The sequence below is a fragment of the Homo sapiens genome, chromosome X (assembly GCF_000001405.40).
Source record: "Homo sapiens chromosome X, GRCh38.p14 Primary Assembly".
Classification (NCBI taxonomy): domain Eukaryota; kingdom Metazoa; phylum Chordata; class Mammalia; order Primates; family Hominidae; genus Homo; species Homo sapiens.
The window spans coordinates 151,556,692-151,574,249 of record NC_000023.11 but is presented as its reverse complement, the minus strand read 5'-3'; the positions used below and the strand labels follow the sequence as shown (position 1 = coordinate 151,574,249).

Sequence of the window (17,558 nt, the reverse complement as noted above, 5' to 3'; positions counted from 1 at the left end):
CAGCCAAGGAGCATCTGGCAAGAACCTGGCTAGGTGCCCACAGTTGGCAGTTATGCCCAGTGCTTAACTTCACTAGTGACTGGCACTTGGGACTACCTGTTTGGCACAATTGTGACCTCAAGGAAGATCCCCTCACAAGGTTTGTCACTTGAAGCCATTGTGAAGCAAGCAAAAGTAGTCATGTGGACTTTGGAACCCACTTAGTTAGACAGGTTTGAGTTTGGTTTGGTTTATTAAATTCATTTCTACCTTGCCTCATTACAGACAACATGTTAGTAAAGGGGAAATACAAGAAGTTCAATATATGATTTCTCCACAAATATTTATTGAATGTGCTCTCCTATTACAATCACATGTGTTCTTGTCTGGAGATTTTAAGCATCACCACAATAAAACTGTCTCAGCCTGTCACCCAAGGCTCTCTACAATACAACCCAATTCACCTTTCCAATCACAACATTCCTGAATTCCAGGAACTACCCACTATTATCCAGACACTCACTCTTCATTCATACTGCCCAGCCTTTGCTCATGATCATCTCCTTGCCTAAAATGTCCTTCCCTATATCTTTACTTAATGAAGTAATATAAATCTTTCAAAGCACTTCCCCCAAAGCATCTTCTCCAATAAGCCTTTTCTGATCCTCTGTCCTCCATCTCCACAGCACATTGCCTTTACCCTTATGGCACCTGCCTTACTTGGTACTGTATCAAAGTCCTGTATTGTCAGTCTCTCCCCGATCACTGCAGCGAATAGGGTAAGTTTCTCTCAGCAACACAAGGCTATCTAAACATAGCCTGTAAAACTATGAAGAATAACATTCAGCTAGTTGAAAATTGTGAAAAATCAAGAACTTGTTACTTCTCCAGAGATCATGAGATGCAGGAACAGAACGACCTAAGACATAGAAAAAATGTAGGAAAACATGCAGGACAGATGATGATATAGTTTGAATATCTGTCCTTGTCCAAATCTCATGTTGAATTGTAATCCCCGAGGTTGGGGGTGGGGCCTGGTAGGAGGTGACTGGATCATGGGGGTGGATCCTTCATGGCTTGGTGCTGTCTTCTCCATAGTGAGTGAGTTCTTGGGAGATTTGGTCATTTAAAAGTATGTGGCACCTTCCCCCAATCCCACCCCCAGCCCCCACCCCCACCCCAAAACTTCCCCTGCCTTACCCCCCACCCCCAACCTCTACCCCCAGCATGCCCTTCCCCCACCCCCCGTCACCACCCCATCTTCCTGCACCCCCTTTTGCTCTAGCCACATGATGTGTAAGCTCCCGCTTCACTTTCCACCATGAGTAAAAGCTCCATCCAGAAGCCAATACCATGCTTCCTGTAAAACCTAAAGAACTGTTAGTTAATTAAATCTCTTTTCTTTATAAATTACCCAGTCTCAGGCATTTCTTTGTAGCAATGCAAGAACGAACTTATACAGATGACTTAATATGGAGATAGCCATTCCTGTTCGTATAAAGGTATATTTCAAATGAACCATTTAAAAGACATCTTCATGAATCATTTAATTAAGAATTTGATAGGTAAGTTTTTCTCTGTCTCCAGTCCTTTTTCAATTTAAAATATTGACAGCCAATCAGTAAAACAATCTAGAGAAAATGATACTGGAACACTTCATTAAAGAACTTTTTAAACAGAAAGATTTTCATATATAAATGAACAGAAAAATTTAAACCGTAAAGAATCTGAAAGTATTACAGATTATAGTGGAATATTTTAGGCCACTCCCAGTCCGTATTTATTAAGGTTTCCTCTACTTGATGCCGTAGGAATTTACCAAGGAAGAAAGAATACAGTTTCCAGGACAGCGGGTTCTACATTTCTGGCTTCTGGGCAACTCAAGTTATCTACAGTGATTTCAAATACTTTTATTTATTTATTCATCATTCATGCCCCCAAACATACTATGGGCAAGGCACTGTGTCTGGTGTTTTCATTGCTATTGTTATTATTGTTGTTGTTGTGGGGGGTTTTTGTAAATCAAAAGGACCTAAAGAAAAATTAAAATATTATTATTTCAAAGAAGAGCTATAGCTCTTATAACTTACAACTGTCAAAATAATTCTCTAAAAATTGAGCAGCTGGAATGTTAAAAGGTGTTAAGAAAAATCAAATGAGAAAATCAAAGTCGTCAGGTCAGGCTGGATTCTCTAACTGAAGATGTTAACATTTTTATTTACTGTGTGAGGTAGCTGGGCACTACTCAAATTTTCTGAGAATTGACTCACAAGATCAAACTAATTTTAAAAGAGGTGATGCAAGGGGAGCTCAAGCAGACAGGCTGAGAAGGGGTTCGAGGTTAGCTGCTGCAGAAAGAAGAGAAAAAGGTTGCAAGAGAGGATGACTCCCAGACATGCTATGAAGGAGGCAGACTAATATGAGAAGGAACAAAGATTAAGAATTAGATGTGTTGCTACTGTTATGGGCCTGGGGCAGTGGAGGCTAAAGTAGCTGAAGGTCAAAAGGGGAGAGTGTTTTTTCTTAAAGAAAAACTGAATCATGGAAAAGTACTGAAAGAAAAGTCATCAACTTTAGGTTCTCTTGCATGCTTAGGCATCAATGAAACATGGAAGAAACTCCAACCTCTATTTGACAAGAATTGTCAATTTGACCACATAGACATGAGTCGGACAGATGACTTGGAAGTCTCTTTCAGCTTGGGGAATCCATGACTCTATAAGACATGTTCACAGAGAATATTTGAAATTAGACAAGTCACTTGAGCGCCCCAAGGGAGTGACATGAGGAAAAGAAGATAAGACCTTGGAAATATTCTATTAGATGGGTGGAGGGAAAACACAGCACCAAGGAGAGAGAAAAGAGCCAAAGCAACTAAGGAGGAGATGAGCACAGATGGGAGCAGCCTCTCCACTTTGGACAAAAACAAAGCAGCTCAGGATCAGGGAGGAAACTAGAAAGGAACTGGAAAAGACAGATAAAGACATAATGTTGTTTTGCATAATGCCAAAGGACAACAATTTCAGCACTCCAGAACTCTATGGCACCTCAATTTGTTCCATTTTAATAATCTGTTCTTCCCAAGTAATGTCTTAAGTGCAAGTTTGCCAATGTTCAATTTATTAGCAGTGACATTTACAAAATCGCCTCAATCCACTTTTCTTCCTGGAAACACCTAACCTGGGTGATCCCCCAGCCTTGCACAAAGCCTATCTGTCCATAAAGGCTTAGCTGGCCTCTGTCATGAGGGGGCCTTTGGACAAAGGAGAGAGATTTGCATAAAGGTGGTCAGCTTAATACAGCCCCTGTTTGAGGCTGTACAGCATTTAAAGGGCCATTCTCCAACCTGGCAGTGTAATCCTAATGGAGAGCTTTTGTCCCTAAGGCTGTGGTGGGCCGCTTTATTCAGCTGACAATCCACAGTAAAAGAATGAATCAACCACCTCCTTTTAGTAAAGCTAAGGCAGCTGGCAGCCCACAGTCCTGACAGCTTACCACATAAGAAGCAGGACAATTATCAGCCTCAGACCGAAAAGGTGCTCCATGAGGGAGTGACCACAGCTAGGGCTTCTGGCGGCATGCTGGGCATTTACCACTCAAGACAAAGGTCCCACAGCCCAATCTCCACACAGGAAAGGGGCTGTGAGAGTGCCAGCAAAGCTGTTCCCTACAATACTTCCCAAAGAGATCAAAACCCTTTCATCACTATGTAGCTCCTTGGCCAGTTTTGTGGAGCTCTACAATCATTCCCCTTTAGAATGCTGGGAACGAGCCAGGCTTCTTGTTTCTTTTTAGAATTTCATTTTTTAAAAGGAAATTTATTTTAGGTTTCTTTTTTAAAGAGTGCCAAATTTACAAAATAGAAAGGAGAGACAACACAAGCATAATTCTACCACTCTGAGGGAAACATTGCCACATTAGAGTATTTCTTTCCAGTCTATTTTACATGGCTGTGAACATTCTGTAAATACAGTTTTTAAATCAGGGCAAGTCTGAGTAGGGAAACAAACCCTTTAGCAATTAGGTTTCTAATTAGGTTTCTCCTAATTTATTTTACTTTATTTCAACTTTGAGAAGAGGAACAGAATCCTAACTTCCTTTAAATCCCTTATCTTCAAGTAATCCCCAGCCTAACCCCCAGTTCTCCTGAATCCTACCCTACTGTTCTGCCTACTGCAGGGCTGCCTTGTCCCAAAAAGCAGAGAAGTTGTCTCCTAGAAGCTGTTGAATAATTTTTTAAAAAGGGCTATGTCCACACATAAAAATCTATATGCAACAAAATTAATTTAAGATGGATATATAATTTAAGTATCAATATCACATAAAAGGTCAAAAAATATATACCACCGAGTGAAAAGGTTGACAATGTATGAGCCACATTGTTCTCAAATTAGAAAAAGGGGCCAAGGAAACCTTCCACTTCCTGAAAGAAAGGCTATGGACCTCCTCACTTAAAATTATCTCTAATTTTTGCTGACTCTTGGCTACCTGATGCCAGAGCCCCTCTCCCCACCCCACCCTCAGCCCTCACTCCTGTGCCATTCCTTTTCGCAATGCTGATGGTTAAGACACTTGCCCATTAACGTGAAGCTCTGCAAATGCCCTGGCTGCCAGCTACAATATACTCTCTGTTCTATACACTTCAAATGCCTTCTCTAATCACAAGTTAGAACTTTACATGAAAGCTCTACCTTGTTTCTTATGGAATGTATAAAAAAATGAAAGAACTCTCAATGAGAGTTTCCAGATTCTTCATGTTGATTGACTTTGTGAATTTCACCTTAAAGTACAATCATTTTGTGCAGAAAGACTTTTCAATTTCCCCCTCAAATTCCTGCCTGTTACTTTAAAGCTTTCTCATTTCAAAGTGCTGTGTGGTTCATGCCTTACAGCACAGCTTACACCTGTATTTCTGAAGATGATTGGCAAAGGAGGCTGATATGGGAGACGGAAAAGAGTAAACAGCCCTAAGTCCTGTATGAAGAATACCCAGGAATGTTTCAAAGTGATCTTGACGCAGCCCAAGGAGGAGAGTGAAACTGCCACAATTTATTGTCTATACTAAGGAATATATTTATTGCTTTCTACTAGGAAACTATTAACCTACAAGTTCATTCTCCCAACTGGGAGACCTAAAGTTAGAGGAGAGCAAGCCAACAAAATATACTTGCCTTAATCCACACTTTAAAATTATTAATCCAGTGACTTAAGTAGGGGGAATTGCAAAATCAATGGAAATCAACACCCCTCTTGAGGTCAGAATTCTTGGGATCTAGTCCCAGCTCTGCACTAGCTGTGTGATCTTGGGCAAGTCACCTAGCCTGTCTGAGTACCTGCAAAATGGTGCTAAGCCCTGGCCTCCCTACCGCATATGGCCACTCTCAGGAGGATCAGATACCACACGGATGGAGAAGTTCACCGAAAAGTCTAAGGTGCATTGCTCACCCATATATTCGGTGAAATGTCTCAAATGATAAGGATCACCATAACCTTGAATGTTAAGGTTCACCTTAACAAGGAGACAAGCTTAAAGAAAGACACACTAGGAGTTCAACACTTCTTGGATCCTTTCCCTAAATATCAGTAGTATTCATGAAATCAACAAATATTGCAGCAAGTGAAACATACATCATCAAAAAAATAAAAACAAAGAGAAATCTTGGAACATTGTGTGCATACATACATTATGGTTAAATATCAATGCAGAAAGAAGAACACTATTCACATTCATGAATTTATGCTTTAATTTCCAAAGCTAAATATTAGCTTGATTGAATAATATCGTGTGCCTTGATCTCAGGTATTAGCATATAAAAGAGCTGATGGCCCTTAGCTCCCTGCCATCCCAAAGGTATAACTTGTATATTTAAATATGGGGGACATTTATTAGTGGCCATGAACACTCTATAATCAAGGAACAACCAGTTACCTAAACAATGTGCTTAACTGTTAGAAATAGAATCAGAAGAAAAACTCATCAACGTCCAAAACATCCTACCCTACTGGGACATTAGCTAGACTCAAGTCAGAACACACACACTCCATAAATACATATCAAATAACAAGAACGGTATTCTAGTTCTCATAAACAACATTTGGAAGTCAATTTAATATTTATATAGTGTTTGGAGAAAGCCTTGCCGACATCTTAAGCCCTTGATAAAGGACAAGGGGCAAATGTAAAGTTTCAGTGTAAACTGGGACGTCAAAGGTAGTTTGTATTTTCCATTAAAAAATATGACAATTGTTCGGGCGTGGTGGCTCACACCTGTAATCCCAGAACTTTGGGAGGCCGAGGTGGGCAGATCACTTGAGCTCAGGAGCTCAAGACCAGCCTGGACAACATAGCAAAACCCTACAATCTCTACAAAAAAAACAAAAATTAGCCGGGCATAGTGACATATGCCTGTGGTCCCAGCTACTCAGGAGGCTGAGGTGAGAGGATCGCTTGAGCCCGGCAGGCAGAGGTTGCAGTGAGCCAAGATCATGCCACTGTACTACAGACTGGGTGACAGAGAAAGACCCTGTCTCAAACAAACAAAACAAAACAGAACAAAAAGACAATTGCTTAGATCTCGTCTTTTAAGAGACTGACTTTCGGGGAGTACCTCCTTGAAAATCTAGTGGAAGCCTTTGTCACACAGACCTTTGCCTATCAACATTCAGACAGAGTCTAAGTCACATCAGCATGACTAGAGACAGCAGCTTTTTATGGCTAGAGCAGGGTAGGCATTGACTCATTTCCCTGACACCAGAGCCATAAAGAGGTGCTAGTAGTCCCCAGAAGCCTCTGCCAAAAAGAAACCTTGATGACACTGCATCTTTATTTCCAGCTGTGACTACTCCTTTGAGCTCTGGCTCTAGAAGCATATCCAGTGGCTTCCTAGATGCTTCACCAGCACCTTATGCTCAGGTCCAAAACTAAACTTACCCAAATTTCTCCTGGTCCCGGTGCTCCTCATCTCAGTAAGTGGAATCAGTTGCATAAAACAAAAACTTGTAGGATCACTGCTAACAGCTCCCTCTCCTTCACTCTGCCTCCAAACAATCCAGTCCAGCAAATCCTGATGAGTCCACCTCTAAATCAGGTGTGGTACGTATGGCGGAGCATCCCTGACTCGAAAATCGAAAATCCAAAATCTGAAATGCTCCAAAATCTGAAACTTTATTTTATTTTATTTATTTATTTATTTATTTATTTATTTATTTATTTATTTATTTATTTTGAGACGGAGTTTCACTCTTGTTGCCCAGGCTGGAATGCAGTGGTGCAATTTCGGCTCACCACAACCTCCACCTCCCAGGTCAAGCAATTCTTCTGCCTCAGCATCCCGAGTAGCTGGGATTACAGGCACGCACCGGGCTTAGTAGAGACGGGGTTTTTCCATGTTGGTCAGGCTGGTCTCAAACTCCCGACCTCAGGTGATCCACCTGCCTCAGCCTCCCAAAGTGCTGGGATTACAGGCATGAGCCACCGCGTCCGGACAAAATCTGAAACTTTTTAAGTGTAAATATGACACTCAAAGGAAATGCTCACTGAAACATTTTTGGACTTCAGATTTTCAAATTAGGGATGCTCGCCCAGTAAGCATAATGCAAATTACATGTATTCCAAAATCTGAAATCTGATACACTTTTGGTCCCAAGCATTTTGGATAAAGGGTATCAACCTGTACAGGGAATCACTTTCTTAAAATCCTGCCGTGGCTCCCTAATGTCCAAGAAATGAAAGGCAACTCCTCAAACTGATCCCTCCTCTTTCAAAGGTCACAAGGATAGCCACCCTCACCTGGTCACCTCCTGCTTCGGAAAATGCTAGGCATTTTTGCTCCTCCATCATTTTGTTAGTATGTGTGTCTCCCTCTGCCTTCTCCTTCCAGAGTTATTAATCTCATAACTTAAAACCCAATCTAAATCCTCCTCTTTGGGGAAGATGGGCTGAGGCCCTAACCCAGGGTAAATTGATCACTCCCTTCTCTTTGAAGTCCAGTGTCTGGGTTTCTTATTCACATATTATAGCTCAAAGCAAATAATGGGATATAATAATTTGTTTGCACGTTTCTCTGCTCCACTAGCCTATGGACTCCCTAAAAGCTGCATCTTTATTCTCAGTTGCTTTGCCCTGTATCTTAGCTCAAAACGTGCCTCTAACAGAACTTCTGAATATGTGTTGAATGAAATGTTGAAACCAAAACCAGGAGAGTTAAACTACACTTTTATCACAAATTTTCGTTTTACTACCAACAACCAAATGCTCTCCCCATAATCCTAATTACCTTATCAACCCTATCAACTTTCAGTTAAGAGTAGGAGGATTTCTAGTCTAATTCTTATTACCCAAGAAACTGGGTATCTGTGAATTACTTTGCAAAGAAATCTGCCCATAAAGGCCAGCCATTAGAAAGCCACTTCTGGCTGGGCGCGGTGGCTCATGCCTGCAATCCCAGCACTTTGGGAGGCGAAGGCGGGCGGATCACCAGGTCAGGAGATCGAGACCATCCTGGCTAACATGGTGAAACCCCGTCTCTACTAAAAATACAAAAAAATTAGCCGGGCATGGTAGCGGGCGCCTATAGTCCCAGCTACTTGGCAGGCTGAGGCAGGAGAATGGCGTGAACCTGGCAGGTGGAGCTTGCAGTGAGCCGAGATCACGCCACTGCACTCCAGCCTGGTTGAGAGCGAGACTCCGTCTCAAAAAAAAAAAAAAAAAAAGTAAGGAAAAAGAAAAAAGAAAGCCACTTCCCACTGGCTCCTGACTTGCTGGGAAAAGAAAAGGAGGAACAGCCCTCACGCCTGTTCTTTGCTGATGGAAGAAAGGTCCAGTTCCCGCCCCCACATCCTCCCTCCATCACTGCCAACTCTCCTAAGGAAGTGCTAGGCTAATCTCAAAGACAGATGTCTCTCTAAGTAAGTACTGACAGATTGGAGGGCATCTACTGGCTACATTGGCCTGAATACTTTCAAAGTCATGAGTCCAATGCTTTCTGCCCATTCTCTTTAGTTTGGTGGAAAGGATTTTCTTTTGCTGCCTGAGTGTCTTTACCCCTCAGTACTCTCTGTTCTAGAACTGGCAGAGAAATAAGCACAACAAATCTACTTTAGATACAGCTTAACTTACTGAAAGAACTAAGGTTAGAGAAAAGCACAGCCAGTCAGTAGGGATACCTCAAAAAAACCAGGATGCCTGATTCTGTTCCTGGATCTCTTTTGGAGCATGACTTTGCCACCTGCCTTTCCTGGCATATTGTGTGGTGTATGGCATGCATATTACATAATCCAGGGTAGATTAATTTACATTCTTGATTTTATACATTGGAAAGTTATGTTCCCTTAAGATGGATGAGTAACTGATAAATTATTGTCTTATGAGTTGTAATTTTTGAAGGAAGTTTTGATTGAAAATACAGGGTCTTGCTCTGTTGTTCAGGCTGGGGTGCCGTGGTTCATTCATGACTCACTGCAACCTCGAACTCCCAGGCTCAAGCGATCCCTCCCACCTCAGCCTCCTGACTAGTTGGGCACCACACGCCCAGCTAATTTTTTTTTTTTTTTTAATTTTTGTAGAGAACAGGTCTCGCTAAGTCCGCCCTAGCTGGTCTCAAACTCAGCCGTAACCAGTAGCTGAGACTAAGATGCCTGCCACCGCACCGACGTTCGCCTCCATTATCGGTCTTCAGATACATGGCTGCTGGCACTTTCACGCTAATCTGACTCCATTTTGAAAAAACACATTTTCTAAGGTAGCCACAACTTCTGTGCTCTCCGTGTAAGTGTGCCCAAATACACATCCTGACATAAACTCCTCATCATTTGAAATCCAAAAAAGCAAAAAACAAACCCAAAGGACAACAAAAACTTCAAGCAGATCCTTTGAAAAGCCGCTACTGCCCTGAAAATTCTGAAGTCTGAGATTTCACGTGTACAAACTGCTCAATCTGCTGAAAACCAGGCAAACCTCTCGATATACGCGCCCACCCCAGCACACCGTCCCCGACTGTGGTAATGGAGACGCGCCCCAGACCTGCCGGACAGAGCCTGGCGTTCTCACCCGAACCGCCCGCTCAGACCGGCCTATTCGCGACACCGCAAGCTTTCCATTCTTCCCAACTCTGCTTCAATTTCTCGAAATGTCCAAAGAAAAATCAATGGGTGCCTCCTATGGTGCACCTACGATGGTGCCCAATGCAGGAGGAGGTTCAGAATGTGGGGGTCTTCCTCGTGTAACCCCCAGCTACCCGCTGCCACCCCTCTCCTTCTGCCTCATCCCAACCAACCTTCCCAGGATGACCAGGAAAACGAGGGTCCTGCAGGGAATGTCTCTGATGGAGTAGCTTGGGCTCCTCAGCCACCGAGGGACAAAGGGGCTGGCTCCCCGCCGCCACCCCAAGGCATTTTACTTTGCAGTAGCTTTCATTAACGGACTTCACTCACCCTTGTGGAACTCTTCACTGCTGGAGGCCGCAGGGACTTGGGGTACCTTGAAGCTCCTCCCTGTGGTCTCCGGTGAGAGCCCGGGAGCCTGGTGGGCGCCCGGAAAGTCTGGAAATGAGGAGCAGCTTCTAGACTCTTCAGGGAAGTGCGTGGGCCCCAGAGTGCAAAGCGCGTGGTGGGGGCGTGGCAGAGAGGGGAGGCAGGCATGGAGGCAGCGTGGCAGCGGAAGTAGGGGGGAGGAGTGGTAGCATTTTTCCCTAGACCTCGCGATGTTGGGGCCCGAGATAACTACTGTCTCTGGAACTAGGAGTGCAGATAAGCCACTTCAACGTAGCCCTTAGCTTGTCGAGTCAAAGGGTTCCACCCCAATACAGGCTCTCCACCCTCCCTGGACCCCTGAGCACTACCTAAGCAGGACCTAATGGAGCCCAGAAAATGTATGGATCCCAGAAAAGAGGGGTCTTTTTGAGTCCAATCATGGCTCTATTGTGGAACTGAGAGGTGACAGCGAGCTGGCAACCCTCGCAGCCGTCCCTCGCACTCCGCACCTCCTCGGCCTTGGCGCCCACTCTGGCCGCGCTTGAGGAGCCCTTCAGCCCACCGCTGCACTGTGGGAGCCCCTTTCTGGGCTGGCCAAGGCCAGAGCCGGTTCCCTCAGCTTGTGGGAAGGTGTGGAGGGAGAGGCACCGGTGGCAACTGGGGCTGCGTGCGGCGCTTGCGGGCCAGCGCAAGTTCCGGGTGGACGTGGGCTCAGCGGGCCTGCACTCGGAGTGGCCCGGTGGGCCCGCAAGGCCCGGGCAGTGAAGGGCTTAGCACCTGGGCCAGCAGCTGCTGTGCTCCATTTCTTGCCAGGCCTTAGCTGCCTCCCTGTGGGGCAGGGCTTGGGACCTGCAGACCGCCATGCCCGAGCCTCCACCCCCCCCGCCCCCCCCCGACCACCGACACCCCCCGCCCCCCCGCCCCCCCCGCCCCCCGCCCCCCCGACCCCCGACCCCCCGCCCCCCGCCCCCCCACCCCCCGCCCCCCCCGCTGCCCCCTCACCCCAGCCCCACTCCCCGCCCCCCCGCCTGCTCCCCCTGCCCCGGCCGTCGGCTCCTGTGCGCAGGAGCCTTGCGGAGGAGTGCCGCTTCCTGCTCCAGGGTGCCCAGTCCCATCGACTGCCCAAGGGCTGAGGAGTGCAGGCGCACTGGGCGGAACTGGCAGGCAGCTCCACCTGCGGCCCCCTGTGGGATCCACTGGGTGAAGCCAGCTGGGCTCCTGAGTCTGGTGGGGACTTGGAGAATCTTTATGTCTAGCTAAGGGATTGTAAATACACCAATCAGCACTCTGTATCTAGCTCAAGGTTTGTGAACACACCAATCAGCACCCTGTGTCTAGCTCAGGATTTGTGAATGCACCAATCGGCACTCTGTATCTAGTTAATCTGGTGGGGACTTGGAGAACCTTTATGTCTAGCTGAGATTGTAAATGCACCAATCCGTACTCTGTATCTAGCTCAAGGTTTGTAAATACCCCAATCAGCACTCTGTGTCTAGCTCAGGGATTGTAAACGCACCAATCAGCACCCTGTCAAAATGGACCAATCGGCTCTCTGTAAAATGGACCAATCAGTAGGATGTGAGTGGGGCCAGATAAGGGAATAAAAGCAGGCTGCCTGAGCCAGCAGTGGCAATCCGCCCGGGTCCCCTTCCACACTGTGGAAGCTTTGTTCTTTCTCTCTTTGCAATAAAGCTTGCTGCTGCTCACTCTTTGGGTCCACACTGCCTTTATGAGCTGTAACACTCACCACGAAGGTCTGCAGCTTCACTCCTGAAGCCAGTGAGACCACAAACCCACCAGGAGGAACAAACTCCAGACGCACTGCCTTAAGAGCTGTAACACTCACCGTGGAGGTCTGCAGCTTCACTCCTGAGCCAGCAAGACCACGAACCCACCAGAAGGAAGAAACTCCGAACACATCTGAACATCAGAAGGAACAAACTCCGGACACGCCGCCTTTAAGAAATATAACACTCACCATAAGGGTCTGCGGCTTCATTCTTGAAGTCAGTGAGACCAAGAACCCACCAATTCTGGACACATTTTGGTGACCACGAAGGGACCATCGCCTATCGCCAAGCAGTGAGACTATCGCCAAGTGGTGAGACCATCGCCTATCACTGAGCGGAGAGATTATCGCCTATCGCCAAGCAGTGAGTACCATCGGACCCCTTTCGCTTGCTATTCTGTCCTATTTTTCCTTAGAATTCGGAGGCTAAATACCGGGCGCCTGTCGGCCAGTTAAAAGCGACTAGCGCGGCCACCGGACTACAGACACAGGTGTCAGGCTTTCTGGGAAAGGGCTCTCTAACAACCCCCGACTCTTCGGAGTTAGGAGCGTTGGTTTGCCTAGAACCAGCTTCCACTTTTCCTGTACTTCTGGGCTGAGCCGAGGGTCGACAGAGAGGAAACCCATGCAGCTCCAGGGTCCCAACGACAAGTTGGTTGACCCTGCGGCCATGAGCGGAACTCTCAAAGGCATGTTGCCCAAGCGAGACTCGCCCATCTATCCTATCTATCCTGACCTTTGCCCCCTGGGTCCTAATGCCTGCCAGACAAACTTCCTCTCGCCTCTCTTCTCCGAGGTTAGTCCCGCTTCTAAAAATTGTTACCTGTCTCTGGTGCTTTTCTAGTTTCTCCTATAAGTATGATTTCTAGTATAAACTCCAGGACTGTTACCTTCTTTAGGAACCCAGGCTCACCAATCAGAAAGACATAACTTTTGCCCAAAGCCCCGTCATAGTGGGGACTACCTGGAATTTTATGATCCCTCCTCTCCTCAGACTAATAGGCCTAACAAAAGCTATTCCTGAAGCTAGGATATGGGGAGCCTCAGAAATTGTATCCTTCCCGTTCATATAAGTGAGGACAAAAGGTGTCACTCTTCCAACCGTGGAGATCCCTTCCCTCCCTCAGGGCATGGCCCTCCACTTCATTTTTGGGGCATAACACCTTTATAGGACAGGGGTAAAATCCCAGTACTAACAGGAGAATGCTTAGGACTCTAACAGATTTTCGAGAATGCATCGGTAAGGGCCACTAAATCTGATTTTTCTTCGTCGGTCCTCCTTGTGGTCTAGGAGGACAGGCAAGGGTGCAGGTTTTCGAGAATGCGTCAGTGAGGGCCACTAAATCCGACCTTCTTCGGTCCTCCATGTGGTCTGGGAGGAAAACTAGTGTTTCTGCTGCTGCATCAGTGAGCACAACTATTCCGATCAGCAGGGTCCAGGGAACGTTGCAGGTTCTTGGGCAGGGGGAGAAACAAACCAAAACTGCGGGCGGTTTTGTCTTTCAGATGGGAAACACTCAGGCATCAACAGGCTCACCCTTGAAATGCATCCTAAGCCATTGGGACCAATTTGACCCACAAACCCTGAAAAAGAGGTGGCTCATTTTTTTCTGCACTACGCCTTGGCCCCAATATTCTCTCTCTGATGGGGAAAAATGGCCACCTGAGAGAAGTACAAATTACAATACTATCCTGCAGCTTGACCTTTTCTGTAAGAGGGAAGGCAAATGGAGTGAAATACCTTATGTCCAAGCTTTCTTTTCATTGAGGGAGAATACACAACCATGCAAAGCTTACAATTTACATCCCACAGGAGGACCTCTCAGCTTACCCCCATATCCTAGCCTCCCTATAGCTCCCCTTCCTATTAATGATAAGCCTCCTCTAATCTCCCCTGCCCAGAAGGAAACAAGCAAAGAAATCTCCAAAGGACCACAAAAACCCCCGGACTATCGGTTATGTCCCCTTCAAGCTGTTAGGGGGAGGGGAATTTGGCCCAACCCAGGTACATGTCCCCTTCTCCCTCTCTGATTTAAAGCAGATCAAGGCAGACCTCGGGGAGTTTTCAGATGATCCTGATAGGTACACAGATGTCCTACAGGGTCTAGGGCAAACCTTCGACCTCGCTTGGAGAGATGTCATGCTACTGTTAGATCAAACCCTGGCCTTTAATGAAAAGAATGTGGCTTTAGGTGCAGCCTGAGAGTTTGGAGATACCTGGTATCTTAGTCAAGTAAATAATAGAATGACAGCTGAAGAAAGGGACAAATTCCCTACCGGTCAGCAAGCCATCCCCAGTATGGATCCGCACTGGGACCTTGACTCAGATCATGGGGACTGGAGTCATAAACATCTGTTGACCCGTATTCTAGAAGGACTAAGGAGAATTAGAAGCCCATGAATTATTCAATGATGTCCACCATAACTCAGGGAAAGGAAGAAAATCCTTCTTCCTTCCTCGAGTGGCTACGAGAGGCCTTAAGAAAATATACTCCCCTGTCACCCAAATCACTCGAGGGTCAATTGATTCTAAAAGATAAGTTTACTACTGAATCAGCTGCAGATATCAGGAGAAAGCTCCAAAAGCAAGCCCTGGGCCCTGAACAGAATCTAGAGGCATTATTAAACCTGCCAACCTCGGTGTTCTATAACAGGGATCAAGAGGAACAGGCCCAAAAGGAAAAGTGAGATCAGAGAAAGGCTGCAGCCTTAGTCGTGGCCCTCACACAATCAAACCTTGGTGGTTCAGAGAGGACAGAAAATGGAGCAGGCCAATCACCTGGTAGGGCTTGTTATCAGTGTGGTTTACTAGGACACTTCAAAAAAGATTGTCCAGTGAGAAACAAGCTGCCCCCTCATCCATGTCCACTATGCAGAGGCAATCACTGGAAGGTGCACTGCCCCAGAGGATGAAGATTCCCTGGGTCAGAAGCCCCCAGCCAGATGATCCAACAACAGGACTGAGGGTGCCCAGGGCAAGCACCAGCTCATGTCATCACCCTCACTAAGCCCCAGGTATGTTTAACTATTGAGGGCCAGGAAATTGACTTCCTCCTGGACACTGGCATGGCCTTCTCAGTGTTAATCTCCTATCCTGGATGACTGTCCTCAAGGTCCGTTACCATCCAAGGAATCCTGGGACAGCCTGTAACCAGGTATTTCTCCCACCTCCTCAGTTGTAATTGGGAGACTTTGCTCTTCTCACATGCCTTTCTTGTTATGCCTGAAAGTCCCACACCCTTATTAGGGAGGGATATATTAGCCAAGGCTGGAGCTATTATCTACATGAATATGGGGAACAAGTTACCCATTTGTTGTCCCCTACTTGAGGAGGGAATCAACCCTGAAGTCTGGGCATTGGAAGGACAATTTGGAAGGGCAAAAAATGCCCACCCAGTCCAAATCAGGCTAAAAGACCCCACCACTTTTCCTTATCAAAGACAATATTCCTTAAGGCCTGAAGCTAATAAAGGATTACAGAATATTGTTAAACATTTGAAAGCTCAAGGCTTAGTAAGGAAATGCAGCAGTCCCTACAACACCCCAATTCTAGGAGTGCAAAAACCGAATGGTCAGTGGAGACTAGTGCAAGATCTTAGACTCATCAATGAGGCAGTAATTCCTCTATATCCAGTTGTACCCAATCCCTATACCCTGCTCTCTCAAATACCAGAGGAAGCAGAATGGTTCACGGCTCTGGACCTCAAGGATGCCTTCTTCTGTATTCCCCTGCACTCTGACTCCCAGTTCCTCTTTGCCTTTGAGGATCCCACAGACCACACGTCCCAACTTATGTGGACGGTCTTGCCCCAAGGGTTTAGGGATAGCCCTCATCTGTTTGGTCAGGCACTGGCCCAAGATCTAGGCCACTTCTTAAGTCCAGGCACTGAGGTCCTTCAATATGTGGATTTACTTTTGGCTACCAGTTCAGAAGCCTCATGCCAGCAGGCTACTCTAGCTCTCTTGAACTTTCTAGCTAATCAAGGGTACAAGGTGTCTAGGCCGAAGGCCCAGCTTTGCCTACAGCAGGTCAAATATCTAGGCCTAATCTTAGCCAGAGGGACCAGGGCCCTCAGTAAGGAATGAATACAGCCTATACTGGCTTACCCTCACCCTAAGACATTAAAACAGTTGCAGGGGTTCCTTGGAATTACCAGCTTTTGCCGACTATGGATCCCCGGATACAGTGAGGTAGACAGGCCCCTCTATACTCTAATCATGGAAATACAGAAGGCAAATACTCATCTAGTAGAATGGGAACCAGAGGCAGAAACGGCCTTCAAAACCTCAAAGCAGGCCGTAGTACAAGCTCCAGCTTTAAGCCTTCCCACAGGACAAAACTTCTCTTTATACATCACAGAGAGAGCCGGGATAGCTCTTGGAGTCCTTACTCAGACTTGTGGGACAACCCCACAACCAGTGGCATACCTAAGTAAGGAAATTGATGTAGTAGCAAAAGGCTGGCCTCACTGTTTAAGGGTAGTTGCAGCAGTGGCCATCTTAGTGTCAGACGCTATCAAAATAATACAAGGAAAGGATCTCACTGTCTGGACTACTCATAATGTAAATGGTATACTAGGTGCCAAAGGAAGTTTATGGCTATCAGACAACCGCTTACTTAGATAACAGGCACCACTCCTTGAGGGACTGGTGCTTCAAACACGCACGTGTGTGGCCCTCAACCCTGCCACTTTTCTCCCAGAGGATGGGAAACCAATTGAGCATGATTGCCAACAAATTATAGTCCAGACTTATGCCGCCCAAGATGATCTCTTAGAAGTCCCCTTAACTAATCCTGACCTTAACCTATATACCGACAGAAGTTCATTTGTGGAGAATGGGATACGAAGGGCAGGTTACGCCATAGTTAGTGATGTAACCATACTTGAAAGTAAGCCTCTTCCCCCAGGGACCAGTGCCCAGTTAGCAGAACTAATGGCACTTATCTGAGCCTTAGAACTGGGAAAGGGAAAAAGAATAAATGTGTATACAGATAGCAAGTATGCTTATCTAATCCTGCATGCCCATGCTGCAATATGGAAAGAGAGGGAGTTCCTAACCTCTGGGGGAACCCCCATTAAATACCACAAGGAAATTATAAAGTTATTGCATGCAATGCAAAAACACAAGGAGGTGGCACTCTTACACTGCCAAAGCCATCAAAATGGGAAGAAGAGGGGAGAACAGCAGCATAAGTGGCTGGCACAGGTAGGGAAAGACCAGCAAGAAGAAAAGAGAGAAAAAGAAAGTCAGAGAAAGAGAGAGAGTGAGGAAGAAACAGAGAGACAAAGAGAAGGAGTCAGAGACAAAGAGGGACAGA

The 17,558-nt window shown here is 46.1% G+C and overlaps 1 protein-coding gene across 2 annotated transcripts in view; it reads right to left on the bottom strand.

Annotated features, from left to right (window-relative positions):
- The window catches only part of PASD1 (PAS domain containing repressor 1), a 113,065-nt gene extending 102,490 nt beyond the window's left edge, over window positions 1-10,575 (bottom strand). For both annotated transcript variants that reach the window (NM_173493.3, XM_011531102.3), the window contains exon 1: window positions 10,411-10,575. The gene's annotated coding sequence lies outside the window, so the exon portion shown is untranslated. The remainder of the gene's footprint in view (window positions 1-10,410) is intronic.